Here is a 19,260-nt window from a genome sequence, read left to right as displayed (position 1 = left end):
GGTTGAAGGGAGGTTACTGGTTAAAAAAAATTTAAATGCAGACATTTTTCTAAGGCATGGAGTATTTCCATTTAAAATAACAATTGAAAGCACCCATTTCATCATTAGCTGACCCAGTGTGAATAGCTTTTCAATATAATTCATCCAAGGTGATGCTTGTGTGGTTAAGGCATCTTGAAAAACAGTCCGTAGAACTCACAGATGGTTGTATGGTGGGCCTATACTCTTCTGTATTTGTTTTCTACTTGCTTTCATTTTCACCTTATTTTCTGCCTTTATTTCTTTGGCCCAAAGACATCTACTAAATATCGGTAAATGTACTGATTATCCCTAATTTGCTTAAACTCTATCTGCATTTGTCCATGATTGCATACCCCTTTAATGGCTACTGCCTTCCAGCCTCCTCTTTTGTCTTCAATCTTCTTTCCTCTTTTGATGTTCTCATTTTGCCTCTATATAGCTCTGTAGTGTCATGTGACTTTAAGATAATCTAGACTAGTATCTAAAAGGGCAGCATTAAAAGGAATCAAGTGGAGAGAAAGCCCTTGCTATAACTTTTCTTTGATTCCATCCCATCAGTTCCTTCAGTCCCAAAAGAATCCATGCTTGAGTTCTATACTTTATTTAACTATTGGCTGGAATTGTCGTGGAATGCTCTGCTTCCATTTGACTTTGAAACAGAGATGATTCTTAGGTTCTTTGCAAGTGATATAATCTTGTCTTACCTAGTTTACTTTTTAAAAGCAAGAAGAAGAGGACGAGAAGATGGTACAGAAGGAGGAGTAAGGAGAAATCATAAAGTATTAAAAGATTGATAAAGTATAAAAACATAAAAAAATTTAACACAAATACCCTGGGTATATTATAATTCTAGGGTAGCTTCAGAGACTGTGGACTTTAATATGTTTAATACTGGACTGAGAGGGATTCTGGTAGACGTAATTAGAAGAATTACAGGAAAGAGAAACAGGTATTTGGATCCCCTAAAAGAAAAACAATCATCAGGACTCAGAGAAGGATCTTAGCAGGCTTTTTATTAGAGCAGAGTCTGGCTATCCTTAACTTATTCCTCAAAACCTATTAGTGTTGAGTGCCCATCTCACGCCTTCTCTTCCTTCGCCCTGGCATCCCTCATCACCACAATTCCTTCATCCATTGCACTAAAATTCTGTTGAAATGCCATCCAGAGGCTCAAAAAGGATAGCCAGCTGTCTTTGGTAAAGAGGTACAGATGGGGGAAAGTAGGAAGGGAAGTCCCCATTTAGTCCAATAAGGAAGAGAGATGCATACTTAACACCCTGAGTTAGAACTCTAAAAATACTTCCAATAGGATATATCTGCATGTATTGATTTATTCTGTAAATTCTATTATGATGATATTTTAGGATTTCTCTAACTTTAAAATACCTTTAGAGTCTTCTTTGGAAAAGGTTTGAAGAAAACCAAAGACAGGTCAGAATATATGCTTAGAGTTTCTGAAAGATGACATAGCTTATGAAGTGTAATATTCTGAAAAGTGTGCTCTCCGATAATTAGATTCTTTCTCTCAAAGGTTCAGCTTGTCCCTCAGCAATGTTACTGCAGATTAGAGTCTTGTCCTTAACTTTAGAGGCTTCCAGGATGTCAGTGCGTAGAGAGTCTGTTTCATAGGCAGTGATGCCAGTTAACTTATTTGATTGAGAAATATTTTTATAAACTAAATTTTATAACTAAAATTGGTCATTTATATAGTCTTCAGTTTTAGAGGTCATTACCACATCTCTTTCTAAGCATTCCACATCCCATTTGAATTTTTTTCAACAAGTACTCGTTATGTTCTTACTATGTCCCAGGGATTGTGTTGGGTAACCAGGTAAGACAGTTAAAAAAAAGAATTTGTCACTATCTACCCTGGTTGCGATGGGTAATTTGAGAGCCTACTGCCTTCCTTGGAACCCTGGAACAATGGTGACTATATCTCAGTCTCCCTCTTTGTAGTAGAATGCTAATTCCTTGTCATCCATGGTCACTATGATAGGCAGGTAGGCATGGGAACTGCGCTCTTGGTACATGCAATCCAGTATAAAAATAGACATTAATAAAGTATTTTTAAAAATGAGCAAATGTTAAAGAATGGATGCAACTTATTTATAAAGGCAAAAAATAAGCTTTTGTGACAGGAAATTACTCTGACTTAGACTGAACTTTGAACGCAACAGATGATTCCTGAGGAAAGTTTTCTTTAAGCTAAGATCTAAATCATACATTGGAGGAAAATGGATAAAGTGTGCATGTAAGTGTCATGGGATCCTTGGGTGTCACTTTGCCAGCCAGAAACCTCTGTGGCCGGCAGCACCTCTGTCTGGGTTTTGCTTGTGCCCGCTGGGCTCCTTGCACCCACTCAGCCTGGCAGGCTGTGCTTGGCTTGCACTACTGGCCCGGATCCCCATGCCTGCCAAGGGCAAGCCAGGCACAGAGCAGTAAGAGGTATGTGAGCAAGCGAGCATGAGGCCTGGCCACTGTGCACAGACAGGCATGCCAGCTGCAGCGGAAGGCAGCTACAGGCACCAGTACTGGTGGCAGCTCCATGTGAGGCTGTGGCTGGACCAGATGTACCACAAGTAGCTTCTGCTGCAGGCACCAATGTCTGGACAGGGGATCGCGGTGGCACCTGAAAGCTCAGAGACACCAGGAACCACAGAGCCCCAAGGAGCATGTTACAGCATGCCACAACCCTGGCTTGAGGAGCCCCAAGGTCTGGGCTCTGCAAAAGGCCACAGCTCTTCTCTGTTTCTCATTGCCCATAGCATGGTGAGTGGGGGGCATGTTTCAGCCCTGTTTGTGTTACAGCTCTTTTTGTCCTGCCATTCAGCAAGTCCTGAGTTCTTGTCCCATGTCCAGGAAGAATGAGGTACATGGACAACTGGAGGGTGAGCAAGGTGCAGAGGAGCTTCATTGAGCGAGAGAACAGCTCTCAGGATACCACGGTGGGTAGCTCCTTTCCACAGGCAGGTCGTCCCAGGGAGTGTGCAGCTGTGAGTAGAGAGGAGACCCATGGTGGGTGGCTCCTTTATGCAGGCAGGTCATCCTGAAGAGTCAAGGAGACACAAAGTAGGTAGCTCCTTCCTGCGGCTGGTAGTCCCAATGTCTAAGTTTGTCTGAGTCTGGGGTTTTTATGGGCTCGGAAGGGAGGAGGTACATTCTAATTGGTCCATGGACATCCATGGATAGGCCCAGAAAAAGCACCATAAGTTCTCATTCTGGGCCACAAACTCCACCCAGAACTGGCAGCCCAGCCCCCAGGCTTCAGGCCATTCTTGGCTTGAAGGAGGGGTTTCTCTGTGGATCTGCTCCTTTCTGCCCAGGAGCCAGTCTGCCTCCTGCCACCATCAACATGCCATCCATGTAGCCTAGGCAGTTTATACCAAGGGGTACCTGCAGGCCCACACCGAACCATCCTCAGTCCCCACTCAGCCTCTCTCCCATGCTCATCAGTGCCCAAAGTCCAGACGGGCGCAAGGCAGCAGGGGGCTGGCATGCCAGCACTGTCCCGAGCACACACATAACCAGTCAGGTTGCGACAACACCTGGTCTTGGCCGCAACTTTGCTTCTCCCAGGAGCCAGTGCGGGGAGCGAGGAGATGCCAGGGAGTGGGAGCAGGCACTTCTTAGTATGTGGAGGCAGGGGGGCTTCCCAGGCCCCCAAGAGCGCAGGAATGCCCAGGTCCGGAGCTGTGGCTGGGTGGCTGCAGCTGCACCTGGAAGCATGGGGCTCCCACCCTGCCAACTCAGTAGGGAGCAGCGCTCCTGCTTGTTCCTGGCCCTTGGTGGCTCCACACAGTGCACAGCCCTGGCCACGCCTCCCTTGCTGCAGCTGGCATCTTTGCAGTGGCCGCTCCAGACAGGCTGCTGCTGCCATCATAAGTGAGATTGGTGGAGGTGGGTAGAGTTTCTAGGATGGATAAATGGTAAATCAAGAGAGCGTGGTTTATAAAAACTTGCATGAAAAAAGACTATAAAAAGACCATAAAGAAAGCCTTTTGTTCTTGGGAGATAACTGTTTCTAATAAAGAAAGAAGGAGAAACATGGTTAAGCCCATAGCTTATAGAAGATGCTCTAATGAAAATGTCTTCCAAAGAAAAAGCAAAACCATTAAAACCCTATTTTTAGGTATGTTATTCTGTACAAGTTAAAAGTTGAGAGCCAACTATAGATGTATTGAAGGTCTGTGTGGTCATAGAACCAGGAGAATTTCTGCCATATAAAAGGCATTTGAATTATTTTGTTAAAATACTTTAATATTGAAGTTACTGCCTAATATTTTGGAGAATTAAAAGTATATGAAAAGAATGAGGCTAGGTACAGTGGCTCACACCTGTAATCCCAGCACTTTGGAAGGCTGGGGAGAGAATATTGCTTGAGCCCAGAAGTTCAAAGATTAGCCTGGGCAACATAGCAAGACTATCATATCGTATTTTGATTTTCCTAATAAAAATAATTATAAAGAATGGATAAAGACAGAGTGTATTAAGGTTCTCTAGAAGGACAGAACCCACTGGATGGATGGATGGATGGATAGATAGATGTATATATGTGTATATAAAATATACATTTAGGAGTTTATCATGGAGAATTGGCTCACATGATTACAAGGTGAAGTCCCATGATACGCCATCTGCAAGCTGGGAGAAGAGAGAACCTAGTAGCCTGGTGCAGTCCAAGTCCAAAAGCCTCAAGACCAGAGAAGCTGACAGTGCAGCTCTCAGTGTGAGGCCAAAGGCCTTAGAGCCCCTGGGAAATCACTGGTGTAAGTCCCCCAGTCCAAAGACTGGAGAACCTGGAGTCCTGGAGTCTGATGTCCGAGGGCAGGAGGAGAGGAAGCCAACTGCCCCGCAGGGCACAGGAAGAGAGTGAGTAAACTTACCAAGCAAGCTACTTTATCCCTGTTCTCCTGGCTTTGTTCTAGTCTAACTGGCAGCTGATTGGGTGGTGCCCACCCACATTGAGGGTGGGCCTTCCTCTCCCAGTCCACTGGTCCACATGTCAGCCTTCTTTGGCTACACTCTCACAGACACACCCGGAAGAAACAATACTTCATCAGTGATCTAGGCATCCCTCAATTCCATGAAGTTGACACATAATATTAACCGTCACAACAAGTATTCTATTTTCAAGAAGGAAAACCTGGAAAACACAATTTTGGATCAGATTATTAAACATGAGGCCATGCTCACTGGTATGGTTTCTCACTTATCTCATGCAGTTAATAAACATATTTATTGCCTGAAGGAATAATTTTTGCAGATGAGATAGTTTTCTAAGAACTAAGCTACATTCGCTAAAATTGAGTCATGTAAACCAACTTTATATCAGATGACATTAAACAATTTGTAGAAATACTTTGTGGTAGTATTAAGACAAATTATTTTGTTAGACTTATTAAATTGGCTGATCCAATGGAATGGAATGAATTTGAGGTATTCTGATTTTCCTGAACCTTTTAGCAAAGCCTCTGCGTGATACTGTTTATTGGTAAGGTGAGTCTATCTTTCTCTATGAGTGTTCGTGGGTGAGTCTGTGTTTTAATATATTCCTTTCTAGTATCTGATTTACGTGCTGAAAATTCTGGGGAAGGAAGCCATTTGAGGATTTAGCTGGGGCTCTGTGTAAAGTGTGCCCCTGTAGGAGTGGTTAATGGAATATTTCTGCTCCCATATTAACTTAGAAGGTTTATAGCTATGTCCTGAGGAGTTAGAATATCATATACAAATGTTACATCCTATTGTTTTAAGTCAGAAAACTCATGTTTATAGTTCGAAATGTTGCTGCTTTTTAAAAATGCAAGTAGTATAAATCAGTTGAATTAGTTTGAGATACAAAGGGTCTGACTTCCCATCTATAGATATAAATGTAAATATATATAAATGTAAGTGTGTAAAAATACATGTAATTTTGTCTATATAAAAATATATGTATAAATGTGTATATAGTTAAATTTATATACATCTCTTTATGTTTCTATATATATACATACGTACATCTTTGTGCATATGTATATATATGTATATACATACATATACATAAACATAAGCACATATGAGATAGAGTGCACATGCTTACTTTGAAACAAGCTTGATATTAAGGATGATACAGATTCTTAGTTAATGCAATCACAGACTGTGATATAGTGTCTAGATTACATGAACTAATAATTATACTCTATGCTGATTTGAATACACTGTATTTTACGCCCACGATTGGTACTCTATCTTAGCAGGATTTTCTCAGATGGCAGCATCCTGTGAAGAATATTTGTAGAGTGGGCGATTATTTAATTAAAAAATAACTAATCATAGGGAAATGGCACATGAACACTATTGTGATGGTGAAAAAGGAAGGCACTTTCTCTATGGTTTTTCAAAATGTCATAATATCAGAAGCAGACAGAAGTTGGTAACTCTGGATGTCTTCTGCCCAGATCTTTCCTGAGTCCATTTTCTTCTAATTATCTTCTGAACACATCCTTGAAGTCCAAACAACACTTCAAACTCAACAAGATGAAACTTACCTCACTGTACATTGCCTTCCTTTAAACCTGCTTTCCTTACTGAATTTCTTATTTTTGTCATTGCACTGGCACTTATCATGACACCTGTACCAGAAACCTAGAGTCATCCCCAAATTCATCCCTGTCCTTTCCCTTATGAGCCCTTTGCATGCAATGTCAAAATATTTCTCAACCTTATCTTGTATTTATTATTTCATCTTTGTTCTTGTCAACATTTCTCAAGGTATAGGCCATATCATAAGCCCCCAAAGTCCTTGCCTTCAGTCTTACCGCTCTTCCATCCAATCTCCACATTGAAGTCAGTGTGGGTTCCCAAGAGCCTGTTTAATCGTTCTCCTTTGCTTAAAATCCTGAGTCACTTTCCAGATTCTGATACTTTGGCCTACAAGGTATTTGATTACCTGACTCCTACCAGTCTCTATAGACTTGTCTCATGTTATCTGCTTTATGTCCCTCAACCTGCATTTGATTCATACAAGCTGTTTCTGATACCCTGTATGTTACGACCTCTTTGCACATACCACCGGGTTTAAACAGACGACTCTGCTTCATAAGATCTGCTTTGATAATTTCATCTATGTATAGAAAACTCATTTCAAGTTTTCCTCCATGAAATTGGCCACTCTACCTAGTGATGACTACTCCCTCTTTGTGCCATGTCTGTACCCTAATTGTGTCTGTTTGGGCACCGATCATATACTTTTGCAGTTAATATTAATGTGCTTTACTCTTTTATTAGAATCTAAATTACATGAGATGTGTCTTACACATTCTTGCCTGCATTGTCAGATACAAGTAATCAGTAATTCTTGTAAGATAACTGAATGAACCTATGAACAGACGGTTGGATATAATTCCAAGAAAGATTTTTTTGACTTAAAAGGGAGAGCTTTTTGTTGTAAGGTAATTAAGAGGAGAAACTCTAGAAATAGACCCTTCCTGCTCTGTTCCTTATCTACAGTATACCTTTGGGCAAGTCACTTAACCATCCTTGGCTTTAGTTTCCCCATCTTTAATATGAAGATTGTATTAGAACCTACATTATCAGATATCTGTAAAGGGTAAAAGGGTAGTTGAGAAGCTAAAGCATTTAAAAATCACTGAAATATAGTAAGCAATAATAATATTAGTTACTATTATTATCATCATCAGCCCAGAGCATTCTTACAATGCGATAAGAGCTGTGGAAAGTGGTGAGCTGTTCTTCATTAATAATATTTAACACAAACTGGAATCTCATGTTCAAGTATGTTTTAAAAGAGGTGACATACTGAGTGGGAAGTTAGACTTGATAGCCTCCAATGTCCCTTCCAATACAGGTGGAGTGCAAGAAAATAAAAGGAAATACTGCCCAATCTTATCTAGTAGAAGCATAATTCTCCCTCATTCTGTAGAGAACTTCAGCTTTAAAAAGCATGATTCTCAAAATTACTTTCATAAGAAAAAACAATCTGAATATAATGGCAAAATATAAAGAAGTCAAATACTACATTCTGCCAATTATTTTGACCAACAGTGATAATTTTTAAAGGTGACAAATCTGGATAAGTAGACAATAAGAATGACAGACATTTAATGGTAACATCTCTTTGGACATTGCTGTTAGTGTCGTTAATAGTTTTAACTTGTGTAACATGAGTATCACACAGGTTACAAAGGGAATGTGCTATATCTCAGTTACAAAGAGAATGTTAAAATAACAAAGCCACTTGGAAAGAAAATGCTATACTGTGAAAGGTAGTTGTTCAGAAAGACGATAAAGTCAGATTTTTCTCTCATCACCTAAATGTCAGTTAGGTAACTGAAATTTTTATAGTACATATCTTCGGGATAGTATGAGAAAGAAAATTTTATAGAATGTTAGACCCTATCAAATTAAGAAATAGAAGTTATTTATGAAGAGGAATATGGTTGAAACATTTTGATGTTTCGCTCTAGTTCCTAATTTTATATTTGGTGAATTAAATGCATTTAAAAAAAACTTTAAATGTGATGGAAATAATCCACAAAGCTAAGCATCAACATTTGTTGCCCAAGAAGCAATAATTATAATTATTAGATTATTATTTTTCAGGAGTTTTACATGCTTTGTATGTAATGCCAACCCTATATCACAAATGAGAAAGCCAATGCATAATGAAGTTAAATCCAAGTTCATATAGCTTGCAGGTGGCAAGGCTGACACTGGTATTCAGATGTGTGACAACTCAACCTGAGATTTCTCCCAATCTCTCAAATTCATAGTAGAAATTTGCTATGTGGCCTTGTGAAAATTATGTGATTTTTTTCAGTTTTGGTTTACTAATCAGCAACGGGGGAATACAGAAACCTATGTAACACAGTAATGTATTCGTACCTGTAAATTTAACTCATTCATGCAAATACTATCTATCTGTATAAAATGCAATATCTATTCATATATATATGAATAGATATAGCATTTGCATGAATGAGTTAAATTTACAAGTACAAATATATATAATATAAACATATATATTTATTTATTTTAGCACCTGTCCCACTCAATTGCATTAGTACATAAATATTTTTCTCTTCTAGAACAACACTGTTCTAGAAGAGAATGGTTTATATATGTATATAGTTTATATAAGCAGTATATATATATTAACACCTGTCACACTCGATTGCATTAGTATATAAAATTTTTTTCTTTTCTAGAACGACACTGTTCAGTAAGGAAGTTGCTATACACCTTTGGCTATTTTGAGCACTTGAATTGTGACTGGTATGCTTGAGGAACTGGATTTTTTATTTTATTTACTTAAATATAAAATGGCACATGATTCAGTTATTAGAAAACTTTTGAGTATGTTTTGATCAGCTTTGATATGTGCATTGTTTTTTCAACTGCACATTGTATCAAGTATAAATAAATGTTGAATATTCTAATGAAATTTGAACATCCAAAGCCAATGTGCTGTAAGTATACAGTTAACGCTAGATTTCAATTTATGTTAATACACGGTCTGTTGTAATACATTTGGCCAATAGGGTGTTAGGTAGATTTGAAAGAACACAATGTCTGGATTACTCAATCTGTTTTCTATTCTGACTTTATAATTTATGAGTTGAACAATAAATTCTCTCATGATAAAAATTATCAAATGAAACTCAAAGATAACAGTGATCATAATACCCACCATACAAAATTACAGGGGAAATATAAGCAAGTATGCTGGAACAATAATATTCTTTTTTTTTTTTTTTTTTTTTTTTTTTTTTTGAGACGGAGTCCTGCTCTGTCACCCAGGCTGGAGTGCAGTGGCGCGATCTCGGCTCACTGTAAGCTCTGCCTCCCGGGTTCATGCCATTCTCCTACCTCAGACTCCCGAGTAGCTGGGACTGCAGGCGCCTGCCACCACGCCTGGCTAATTTTTTGTATTTTCTGTAGAGATGGGTTTCACTGTGTTAGCCAGGTTGGTCTTGATCTCCTGACCTCGTGATCCGCCAGCCTCGGCCTCCCAAAGTGCTGGGATTACAGGCGTGAGCCACCACGCCCGGCCACCCGGCCAATAATATTCTTTATGAATGCAAGTGTTAATACATTTACAAAAAATTTTTAAGTTTATTGATACATAATATTTGTACATACTTATAGAGTACATGTGATATTTTGTTACACTGTTGTATATAATTATATAGTCTTCCTACTCTGCTATCGAACATTAGAACTTATTCCTTCTATCTAAGCGTATGTACCCATTAAACAACCTCTCTTCATTCCATCCACACACTCTTCCCAGTCTCCAGTATCTATCATTCTAATCTCTAGCTCTATGAGATCCAATTTTTTAGCTCCCACATGTGAATGAGAACATGTGGTATTTGTCTTTCTGTGCCTGCTTATTTAACATAATGACCTCCAGTTCCATTTATGTTGTTGCAAATAGCTATATTTCATTCCTTTTTATGGCCAAATAACATTGCATTATGTATATATAACCTGTTATCTGTTTATCTGTTGATGGTTCTGAAAAAAAAATGCAAACTTTATGGTACTTTTTAAATTGAAGTATCAAGCAAAGGACATAAGTTATAATTATAGCTTAAAGACTTATTACAGAAGTAACATACTATGATTCCACATCCAGAAAAAGATAGTATGTTACCAGCAACCAGGAAACCTCCATCAAGCCCTATGGTATCATAAACTCTTCCCATCTCCTCAAAGGTAACATGTATCTTGAGTTATAATGCTGCAGGTTAGTCTTGCTATATTTTTAACTTGATGTAAATGAAACTTTTATATATGCAGTTTTTTAACTGGCTTTTTTCACTGGATACTATATTTGTGAGATTCACTATGTTGCATATAGCATTACTTTATTAATTTTCATCGCTGGATAGAATTACTTTGTATGAATATACCACATTTTACATATTCTGTTCAGAAAATTGGGGTTGTTTCCAGTTCGGAAGCATTACAAATAATTCATCTATCAACATAAATTGTACGTATATTTTTGTGTATATATGTAAACTTTTGTATTAGGTATTTACCTAAGAATAGCATTTCTTAATCATTGGGTATATGCATATTTAGCTTTCAAGATATTAACAAAGGGTTTTCCAAAGTTGTATAAATTCATATTCTCACCAGTAGTAAATGAAAGTACAAACTGCTTCATATCTTCTTGAATACTTGTTTGTTAAACTTTTTAATTTGAGCCTTTCTGGTGACTTTATAATGTCATCTCTCATTTTTCATTTGTATATACTGATGACCAGTGAGGCGGAATACTATTTCAGTTGTTATTGGCCATTTAAATGAACTCTTCTCTGAAATGCCTGTTTTTCTACTGGATTTTCTATATTTCTCTTACTGATTTATTTTAGTTTAAAATATATATATTCTGGGTATTCTTTGCTGTTTATATTACATTTTTCTTTTTGAATGGGTACCTTGCCTTTTCACTCCGTAATGATATATCTCTTCATAAACAGAAGTTTAAATTTAACATAGTTCACTTCAATATTTTCTGTTATGTTTAGTGTACTTTTGTCCTCAGTTTAAAAATAAAACTCTCTACTTTAAAATTCTGAAGCTATGGTCCTGGGTTGCTATATAGGAACTGTTTGTTTTACCTTTCGTATTACAATCCACCTATTATTACAGGTATGAGGAAGGGATGAATGTCCATTTTTTCCCATATAGATCCAACTGAAACAACAAGTTGGCACTGTAGAATATTGAGGAAAAGATGGTCTTATTGCAAAGATTTTCAATAAGACCATCCTTTCCTCAATATTCTGTGGTGTCATCTTTGACGAAAATATTAGAAATAAAATGCCTATACGTGCATGGATCAGTTTATGGACTCTAATCAGTTTTATTTCTCTACTTGCCTGTCCTCATGCTAATTCCACATTGTTTTAATTACTATAGCATTATGACAAGTTTTAATATATGGTAATATTTTTTTGAGATGGAGTTTCGCTGTTTCTACCCAGGCTGGAGTGCAGTGGCAAGATCTCAGCTCAATGCAACATCCGCCTCCCTGGTTCAAGCAATTCTCCTGCCTCAACCTCCTGAATAGCTGGGTTTGCAGGTGCCCACCATCATGCCTGGCTAATTTTTTTTGTATTTTGAGTAGAGACAGGGTTTCACCATGTTGGTCAGGTTGGTCTTGAACTCCTGACCTCAGGTGATCTGCCAGCCTCGGCCTGCCGAAGTGTTGGGATTGCAGGCGTGAGCTACCAGGCCCAGCCTGTATCTGGTAATATTGTAAAAGAAAAAATGCACCAGACAAACAGGCAAGAAAGACTTTATTCAAGACTACTGAATTATGGATCAAGACTATTGCCATAGGAGAGAGAGATGGAAATCATTTCTACTGAAAGAAAGACAGGAGAGAATTTAAGCACTGAGGAGAGCTAGTAGAAAAATACTGGAAGATATTAGGGGGTTAGGATGGTGATTAGGCAATCTGTGATTGTTAATTGGCACTTAATGAAGTTAGGCTCCTACTGTCCCACAGAGACTGGGAGATAGGCGTGCTATCATTAACAATTACATTTCAAAGAGATGGCTCCTAGGTCCTTGAGAAAGATATTCCCGGATTGTAGAAGATTTACATCTCAAAGAGGCAGAGAATATGTTTTTGGTTGCAAGTTTCCCTAAAGTAAGCGCTCTAAGAAAAGAGAGGTCAGGAGCCTATAGTCAAATAAAAGCCTGTCTAGAGTTTAGTCACATTAAGTTTGTTTTGGTCAGTTGGTCAGTAAAAGCCATTTTATTTTCTTCCTTTTTAAAGATTATCTTGACTGCTTTTGGCCATTTCGATCTCCATATGAATTTTAAGAACAGCTTGTGAACCCTGCCCCCAAAAAGAATCTGCTGTGGTTTTAATTGGATTTCATCTATTCTCTGGATCAACTTGTACAGAATCAACATTTTTATTATGTAAAGTCTTTCAATCCTTTCATTTAGTTAGGTCTTTATTTTCTCTCAATAATGTTTTATAGTTTTTAAAGTAAAGGCTCTTAAACTTTCTCTGAGATTTATTTCTTGGGTTTTTATATTTTTGCTGTTATGAATATATTTTTGAAATTTCATTTTCTATTTGTGCTGATATAAAGAAATACAGTTGATTTTTTTTCTTGGTCTTGTATCCAGGTACCATGCTACATTTACTTAATAATTTGAATACATTATCTGTAGTATTATTCAGATGTACATATATAGGTTGTTTTTGAGTAATGACAGTTTTCTTTCTCCCTTTCCAATTATTTTTCATGTCATTAATTTTCCCTGACATATTGTACTGTATAAATACTCTAGTACAATGGGAGTATTGTGGATATTTATTTCTCATTTTAAGTCTCAGAGGGAAGAACTTTAATAAATAATCATTAAGTATGATCTTTCCTGTAGGTTTGTTGTAGATACCTTCTGTTCTTAATATTCTAAGAGGTTTTATCACTACCGGATGCCAAATTTTATCATATATTTTTCCAGAATCATTTGAGATGGTCGTATTTTTCTTCTTTATTCTGCTATATGTCAAATCACATGACTTAGTTTTCTAATGCTAAAAAAGCCTTTCTTCCTGTAATAAACTAAACCTGGATAAGACGTATAATCTTTTTTGTGTATTGCTAGATTTTCTTTGATTCATAGTTTTTCCTTTACGTCCATGAAAGTGATTGGCCTGTTATTTTCCTTTCTTGTAATATGCTTGCTAGGTTTAAGTACCTGATTATGCAGGCTTGGTAACTGGCTTCATAACTGGAATTTGCAAATGGGAAATTTTAAAATTAAATTTTTATGTATTTAATACACATAAAAATGTCCATTTTTAATTGGAATTTCAACATTACATTTTTCCAGATTTTCCGTTTTGGAGTCAGCTCGAATCATTTGTGTCTTTCTAGGAATTGGTCTATTGCATCTAAAATTACAGATGTATTTAGATAAAGTTCTATTTAGTCCCTATGGTATTTAATAGTAGTTTATTAGCTACCATTGTTTGAAATTGAAAAAAATGTGACATGAACTAAGAATTTCTAACCTCTCTAGAGAAAGCAAATGATCTGATGATCCTTAGTCTGTTTTTCTACATAGTAACCAGAGCAGGAGTCAAGTTGCCCTGTTTTCTCTAGCACAGGCTCTTCATTTAGCCACAGTCCCCATTACTACCTATTCTGTTACACCTACATTATCTTATGCATTTTATTAGGTATGTACGTTAGAATTTGTGATTTCTTGTGGATGAAAAGTTGTGATGTCAAGAGTTGGCATGAGACATAGAGGGATATTTATCTTCTATGCACTTGCTTTCAAATAAGATACCTTTTGGAGCCCGTGCTCAGTGGCTCACGCCTGCAATCCCAGCACTTTGCGAGGCCGAGGCGGGCAGATCACTTGAGGTCAGGAGTTTGAGATGAGACCAGCCAACATGGTGAAACCCCATCTCTACTAAAATACAAAAAAGAGCCAGGTGTGGTGTCTCACACCTGTAATCCCAGCTACTTGGGAAACTGAGGCACAAGAATCCCTTGAACTTGGGTGGTGGAGGTTGCAGTGAGCCGAGATCGCGCCACTGCTCTCCAGCCTAGGGGACAGAGAAAGACTCTGTCTCAAAGAAAAAGAAAAAAAGGATACCTATTGGAATATGGCCCTGTTGTTTAAAATTGTAAAGGTAAAAATTTTCAATTCTTGTATAAAACATAAGCTTTATCAAGTATAGAAAAAAATGCAAAAAAAATTATCATTAATTGTCCTTCTAAAATGTTTCACTGTGTTCTATATTAAAATTCTATCATGCTCCAGATTTATCACATCTGGAATAAAGGCTGATTTTTTTATCGACTGAGCTCTAAATCCTTACTATCACAAGCATCTCAATAATTCATCACAGATTTAAGAGCACTTTCACATTTATTGATCTATCTGACCCTAGCAGTTACCTGTCTAGGAGAGTCTGTACTATTATCTCTATTTCACTGGTGAGAAAACTAAAGCACAGCAAGATTGAGTTTGTTCACAGATATTACAAAGTTGGGCAACAGTAGAACTGAAGTGGGAATGCAGGAAGTTTATACTTTATGTAATGATTAGCAGATTGAAAGATCCAAAAAAGATGGTTCTAAGACAAAAGTTGGGTGGGGAAAGCCACCTATTGATAACGACAGTAGTAGTATTCAGTTTTGGGATATTTGTGCAAGACATTAACCTCAAAGGTAAGGAGCCCACCTCAAGGAGCTCAGAGTCTGCGAGGTATAAAACGATAAGGAAGAGGAAACCTCAAGCTACCAAGGAATGCCTGGGAATGTGATGAATGCTGGAAGGAACACTGTTACGCTGGAATGCTCCTTAGAACTCCTGCTCTTTATTTTCTGGTATCCCAATTGAACAGACTGGTGGGAGCTGGAGAGTACAGAGTTTATTAAGCTGCCAAAAAAAAAAAAAAAAGACATTAAATAATATCCTGCAAAGAATAACAGCAGTGACAACAACAAAAGGCTTTTCCAGATTTATTCATTAGCACTTTGTATACTCACACAAATAAATAATATAGGAAACTGACTGAAATAGCGTAGAGAAGAACATGCTTCTTCGTGTTAAAATCTCACTACACTTTCAGCACAATTGCAAAGGCAGAATTTAATGAACAAATCAGTCATACTTACCTTTTAAAAATAAGTCCTGCAAAGGCCACATGTTCTTAATCTGGAAGTGCAAGTATTTGCTGACGTTTTATGATTAAACAAATACAGAGTTACAGTGTCAAATGTTTTTGAATCAAATTATAACATTAAGCTTCACATCCTTGTGAAGCAGATTAGATTAAATGTTAAATCTAGTCAAACTTCTGCTAAAACAAAATATGAAAAGACTCCAAAGGGATTCGGCATCTGGATATCTCACTGTAGGTTGTGTAGCACAAATTAGAAGGCATATCTTTTATAATGAATGCCCTACTGAATGAATACCATTATGAACGAGCATGAACTTGTAGCCAAATGGATCTGAGGTCAAATCCCAGACACTCAGTACTGTGGCTTCTGTGACCTCAGACAAGTTACTTAACCTATCTGTCAGTTTCCTCATCTGTAACCTGCCCCTTTGGAAGTGACAGCTAAAAATTCCTTGAGTTCAGACAGGAGATTATTACAGGATCATTTAAATAGAAGTAAGAATTATACTTTTGAAAAAACTTCCAGTAGTTGTTTCATAACTCATCAAAATAGGTTTATCCGCCCTGTACCATATGTTATACAGTGAAGATATAAGGTACACCATTTTATAGTATGGTGCTTCAGTTCAGTTTGTAGAAATGTGTAAAACTGAGAACCAAGCCATACCCTTGGCTAAACACTATTCAGTAGGACTCTGCCACATTTCTGCCTCATAATGGATTTTTGTTTTTTTCAATGGTTTTTGATGTGATTTCCATTTCAACATCAGTAAGAGTAAGTTGCTTATACGTTTTAACTGCATAGTTGTTGATAAAGTAAGAGAAAAATCAAGAAATAAGGGATTTTCAGAGGGCTCATTACACATAAAATTCATTTAGCAGAGAAGTGTATTATAGGGTCTTAACCTGCAATAAAATAAGATGGGTTGTTTTCTGCCTCCCTCTTTCATAAAGCCCCGTTGCTGATGCATTGTGTGGTCCATGGCACATAATTGTTTCCGCCTTAGTGGATATACGCCTGGGAACACTCTATCTCTTAACGCCAATACTGATGGGCACAGTTTAGGTTTCATATTCTATCCCTGGCTCCAGTAAATTCAAGGGTCACCATACTTAAGATTTACCTCCCAGGCTTGTCAGATTTTCCTCAGTTACCTTTATCCAAATGTTCTTTTAGTAGCCATTTTTCACTTTTGAATTGAAATAGCAACTCAACCAAACAAAGGAATTCAGATGAGAAATGTCCTTGGCACGTACAACAATATGACATGTGAATTAAATGGGAGGAAAAAATCCTCCCCGTTGTGGATCTGAGCATGGACGATAATGGAGTTGTGATTTAGTCCATGAAAATGTTAGACGAAGTGAGCTGACCTTTAGCTTCACTTACTGCTGAGACAAAATGAGAATATAAATAAAAATTAACTTCTTTTACCATTTTGTGAGACTTTGTAATTCATTGGTTTTACATTTATGTGTAGAATGTTTAGCTCTATAAAAATATGCATTATTGCTAAAAGCTCAAGGGATTCCTATACGTAAATAGAAACTCAGAGAAACAGAGTTGAAGTTACATATTTTTTTTTTCTCTAGAGAAGAGGTTTCTAATCCTAATACAGTGGTTCTTTAAAAAATATATGTATTAGCCCCATTTTATCCAATTTCTTACACTTGTCTAACAATTTTGTTATAGCCATTCAGGCAATGATAGGAACCAGCATCTTTGAGTGATTCCAGAGCTGAGGGATATAGTCTTCCAATTGCTTTGCTTCATTCTTTGTAATTCAAATTAAGGCCAATATTGCTAAGCAATAAATAGGTAAATCCATAAATTTAAAGCACTTCGTGTATTATCTATTTATACTTGTGCATATGGCATCACAAAAATGTATGGGCAGATGTTTACAGCGTATGAGCAAGTAATTTCTAATTCACTTTTCCGCTTACACTGAGATCAGTGGAAAGCACTATGCCTGCCTTGCTACAGAAGTGACTTAGATTCAATTCATTGAGTATTTTCTAAGAGTAAGATAGGTTTAAGCAATAGAATATGTTACTAAAGGATATGTGTTCATGCTGTCTTGTGTTGGAAACCTTTAAAGAATATACTTGAAGACTAAACATTTATTCGTAAAGATTTAATGGGTGCCTTTCTACAGTGAATACAGTAAAATAGATGACCCTTGGCAGTTCTTAGATTTGATGTAAGAACCATGATCAAGCAAATTGTAAACAACGACCAACTCTTAAATAACTTGTTTCAAATTAATAATACTTTCCCATACATACTCTTGTTTAACATTTGCAATTCTTTAACGGGTTGGTATTATTATTCGACAGACATTTAGCCAAGTATTTCTTGAAAAAGAATCCATCTATCTTAATTGTCTTTTGTATTACTCCTTTGTGAGGGCTATCATTAAAAAATAACATGGACTGGTGGCTTAAACAATACAAACACTTTCTCACCATTCTGGGGGCCAGAAGTTCAAGACCAAGGTACTGGCAAGGATTGGTCTCTTGTGAGGCCTCTCTCCTTGGATTGCAGATGAATGCCTTGTTCCTGTATCCTCACGTGGTCTCTCCTCTGTGTTGCACATATCCCTGGTGTTTTGCTGTGTCCAAATTTCCTCTTCTCATAAGGATACCCATCATATTGGACTAGAGTAACCCTAATAGACTCATTGTAACTTAATGGTCTATTTATAGGCTCTATCTCCAAATATGGGCACATTCCGATGTAGTAGGTGGGGCATAGGGCTTCAACATGGATTTCATGGGACACAATTGAGCCTGTAACATCTTCTCTTAATATTTGGCATATCCAGATATTTGGTACATATTTGTTATATAATAAATTCATGATCAATGAATGAATGCATTGATGGCTGTCATTAACTGTAACCTAGATATTAGCTGAATCATAAACTTGCTCCATTATTTGGATATAAAGAACACTTTAAGTGGCATTTTTTAAATAGTTATGTTAAATAGGTTGCCTATGTACCTAAAAGAGTGTTTAATTACAGCAATCCCTCCCTCCCTCCCTCCCTCCCTCCCTCATCCATGGTTTTGCTCTCCTTGGCTTCAATTACTGGCAGTCAACCACAGTCAGAAAATATTAAATGAAAAATTCCAGAAATAAACAATTCATAAATTTTAAATTGCATGCTGTTTTGAGTAGCATAATGAAATCTTGTGCTATCCCACCTCTGTCTCACCCAGGACTGAATCACCCCTTTGTCCAGCGTCTTCATGCTGTCAATGTTACCCGCCCATTACTCAGTACCTGTCTAGGTTCTTAGAAACACTGTCATGGTATCGCAGTGCTTGTGTTCAAGTCACCCTAGTTTTACTTAGTCATGGCCCCAAAGTGCAAGAGTAGTTATGGTGGCAGTTCAAATATGCCAAAGAAAAACTGTGAAGGGTTTTCTTTATGTGAAAAGGTTCCCAACTTAATAAGGCAAGAAAAAAATCGCATGCTGGGGTTGCTCAAAATCTGTGGTAAGAGCAAGTCTATCCGTGAAATTGCGAAGAAAGAAAAATAAATTCAT

At 37.3% G+C, this 19,260-nt stretch overlaps 1 protein-coding gene and 1 non-coding gene across 18 annotated transcripts in view, besides 1 other annotated feature; both read left to right on the top strand.

Moving 5' to 3' along the window:
- Positions 1-19,260, top strand: part of DMD (dystrophin) — a 2,220,167-nt gene that overhangs the window by 743,897 nt on the left and 1,457,010 nt on the right.
- Positions 11,740-11,836, top strand: MIR3915 (microRNA 3915). Its single transcript, NR_037478.1, has one exon. It is a non-coding gene; the product is annotated as a microRNA 3915 (primary transcript).
- Positions 12,284-12,911: an enhancer, noted in NCBI's record as "OCT4-NANOG hESC enhancer chrX:32600698-32601325 (GRCh37/hg19 assembly coordinates)". NCBI's record gives its function as "activates a minimal SCP1, AML or CMV promoter by ChIP-STARR-seq in naive H9 embryonic stem cells {active_cell/tissue: H9 hESC(naive)}" and the evidence as "EXISTENCE:reporter gene assay evidence [ECO:0000049][PMID:30033119]".

Source organism: Homo sapiens, chromosome X (genome assembly GCF_000001405.40).
Source record: "Homo sapiens chromosome X, GRCh38.p14 Primary Assembly".
NCBI lineage: Eukaryota > Metazoa > Chordata > Mammalia > Primates > Hominidae > Homo > Homo sapiens.
This window is presented reverse-complemented; position numbering and strand designations above follow the sequence as displayed.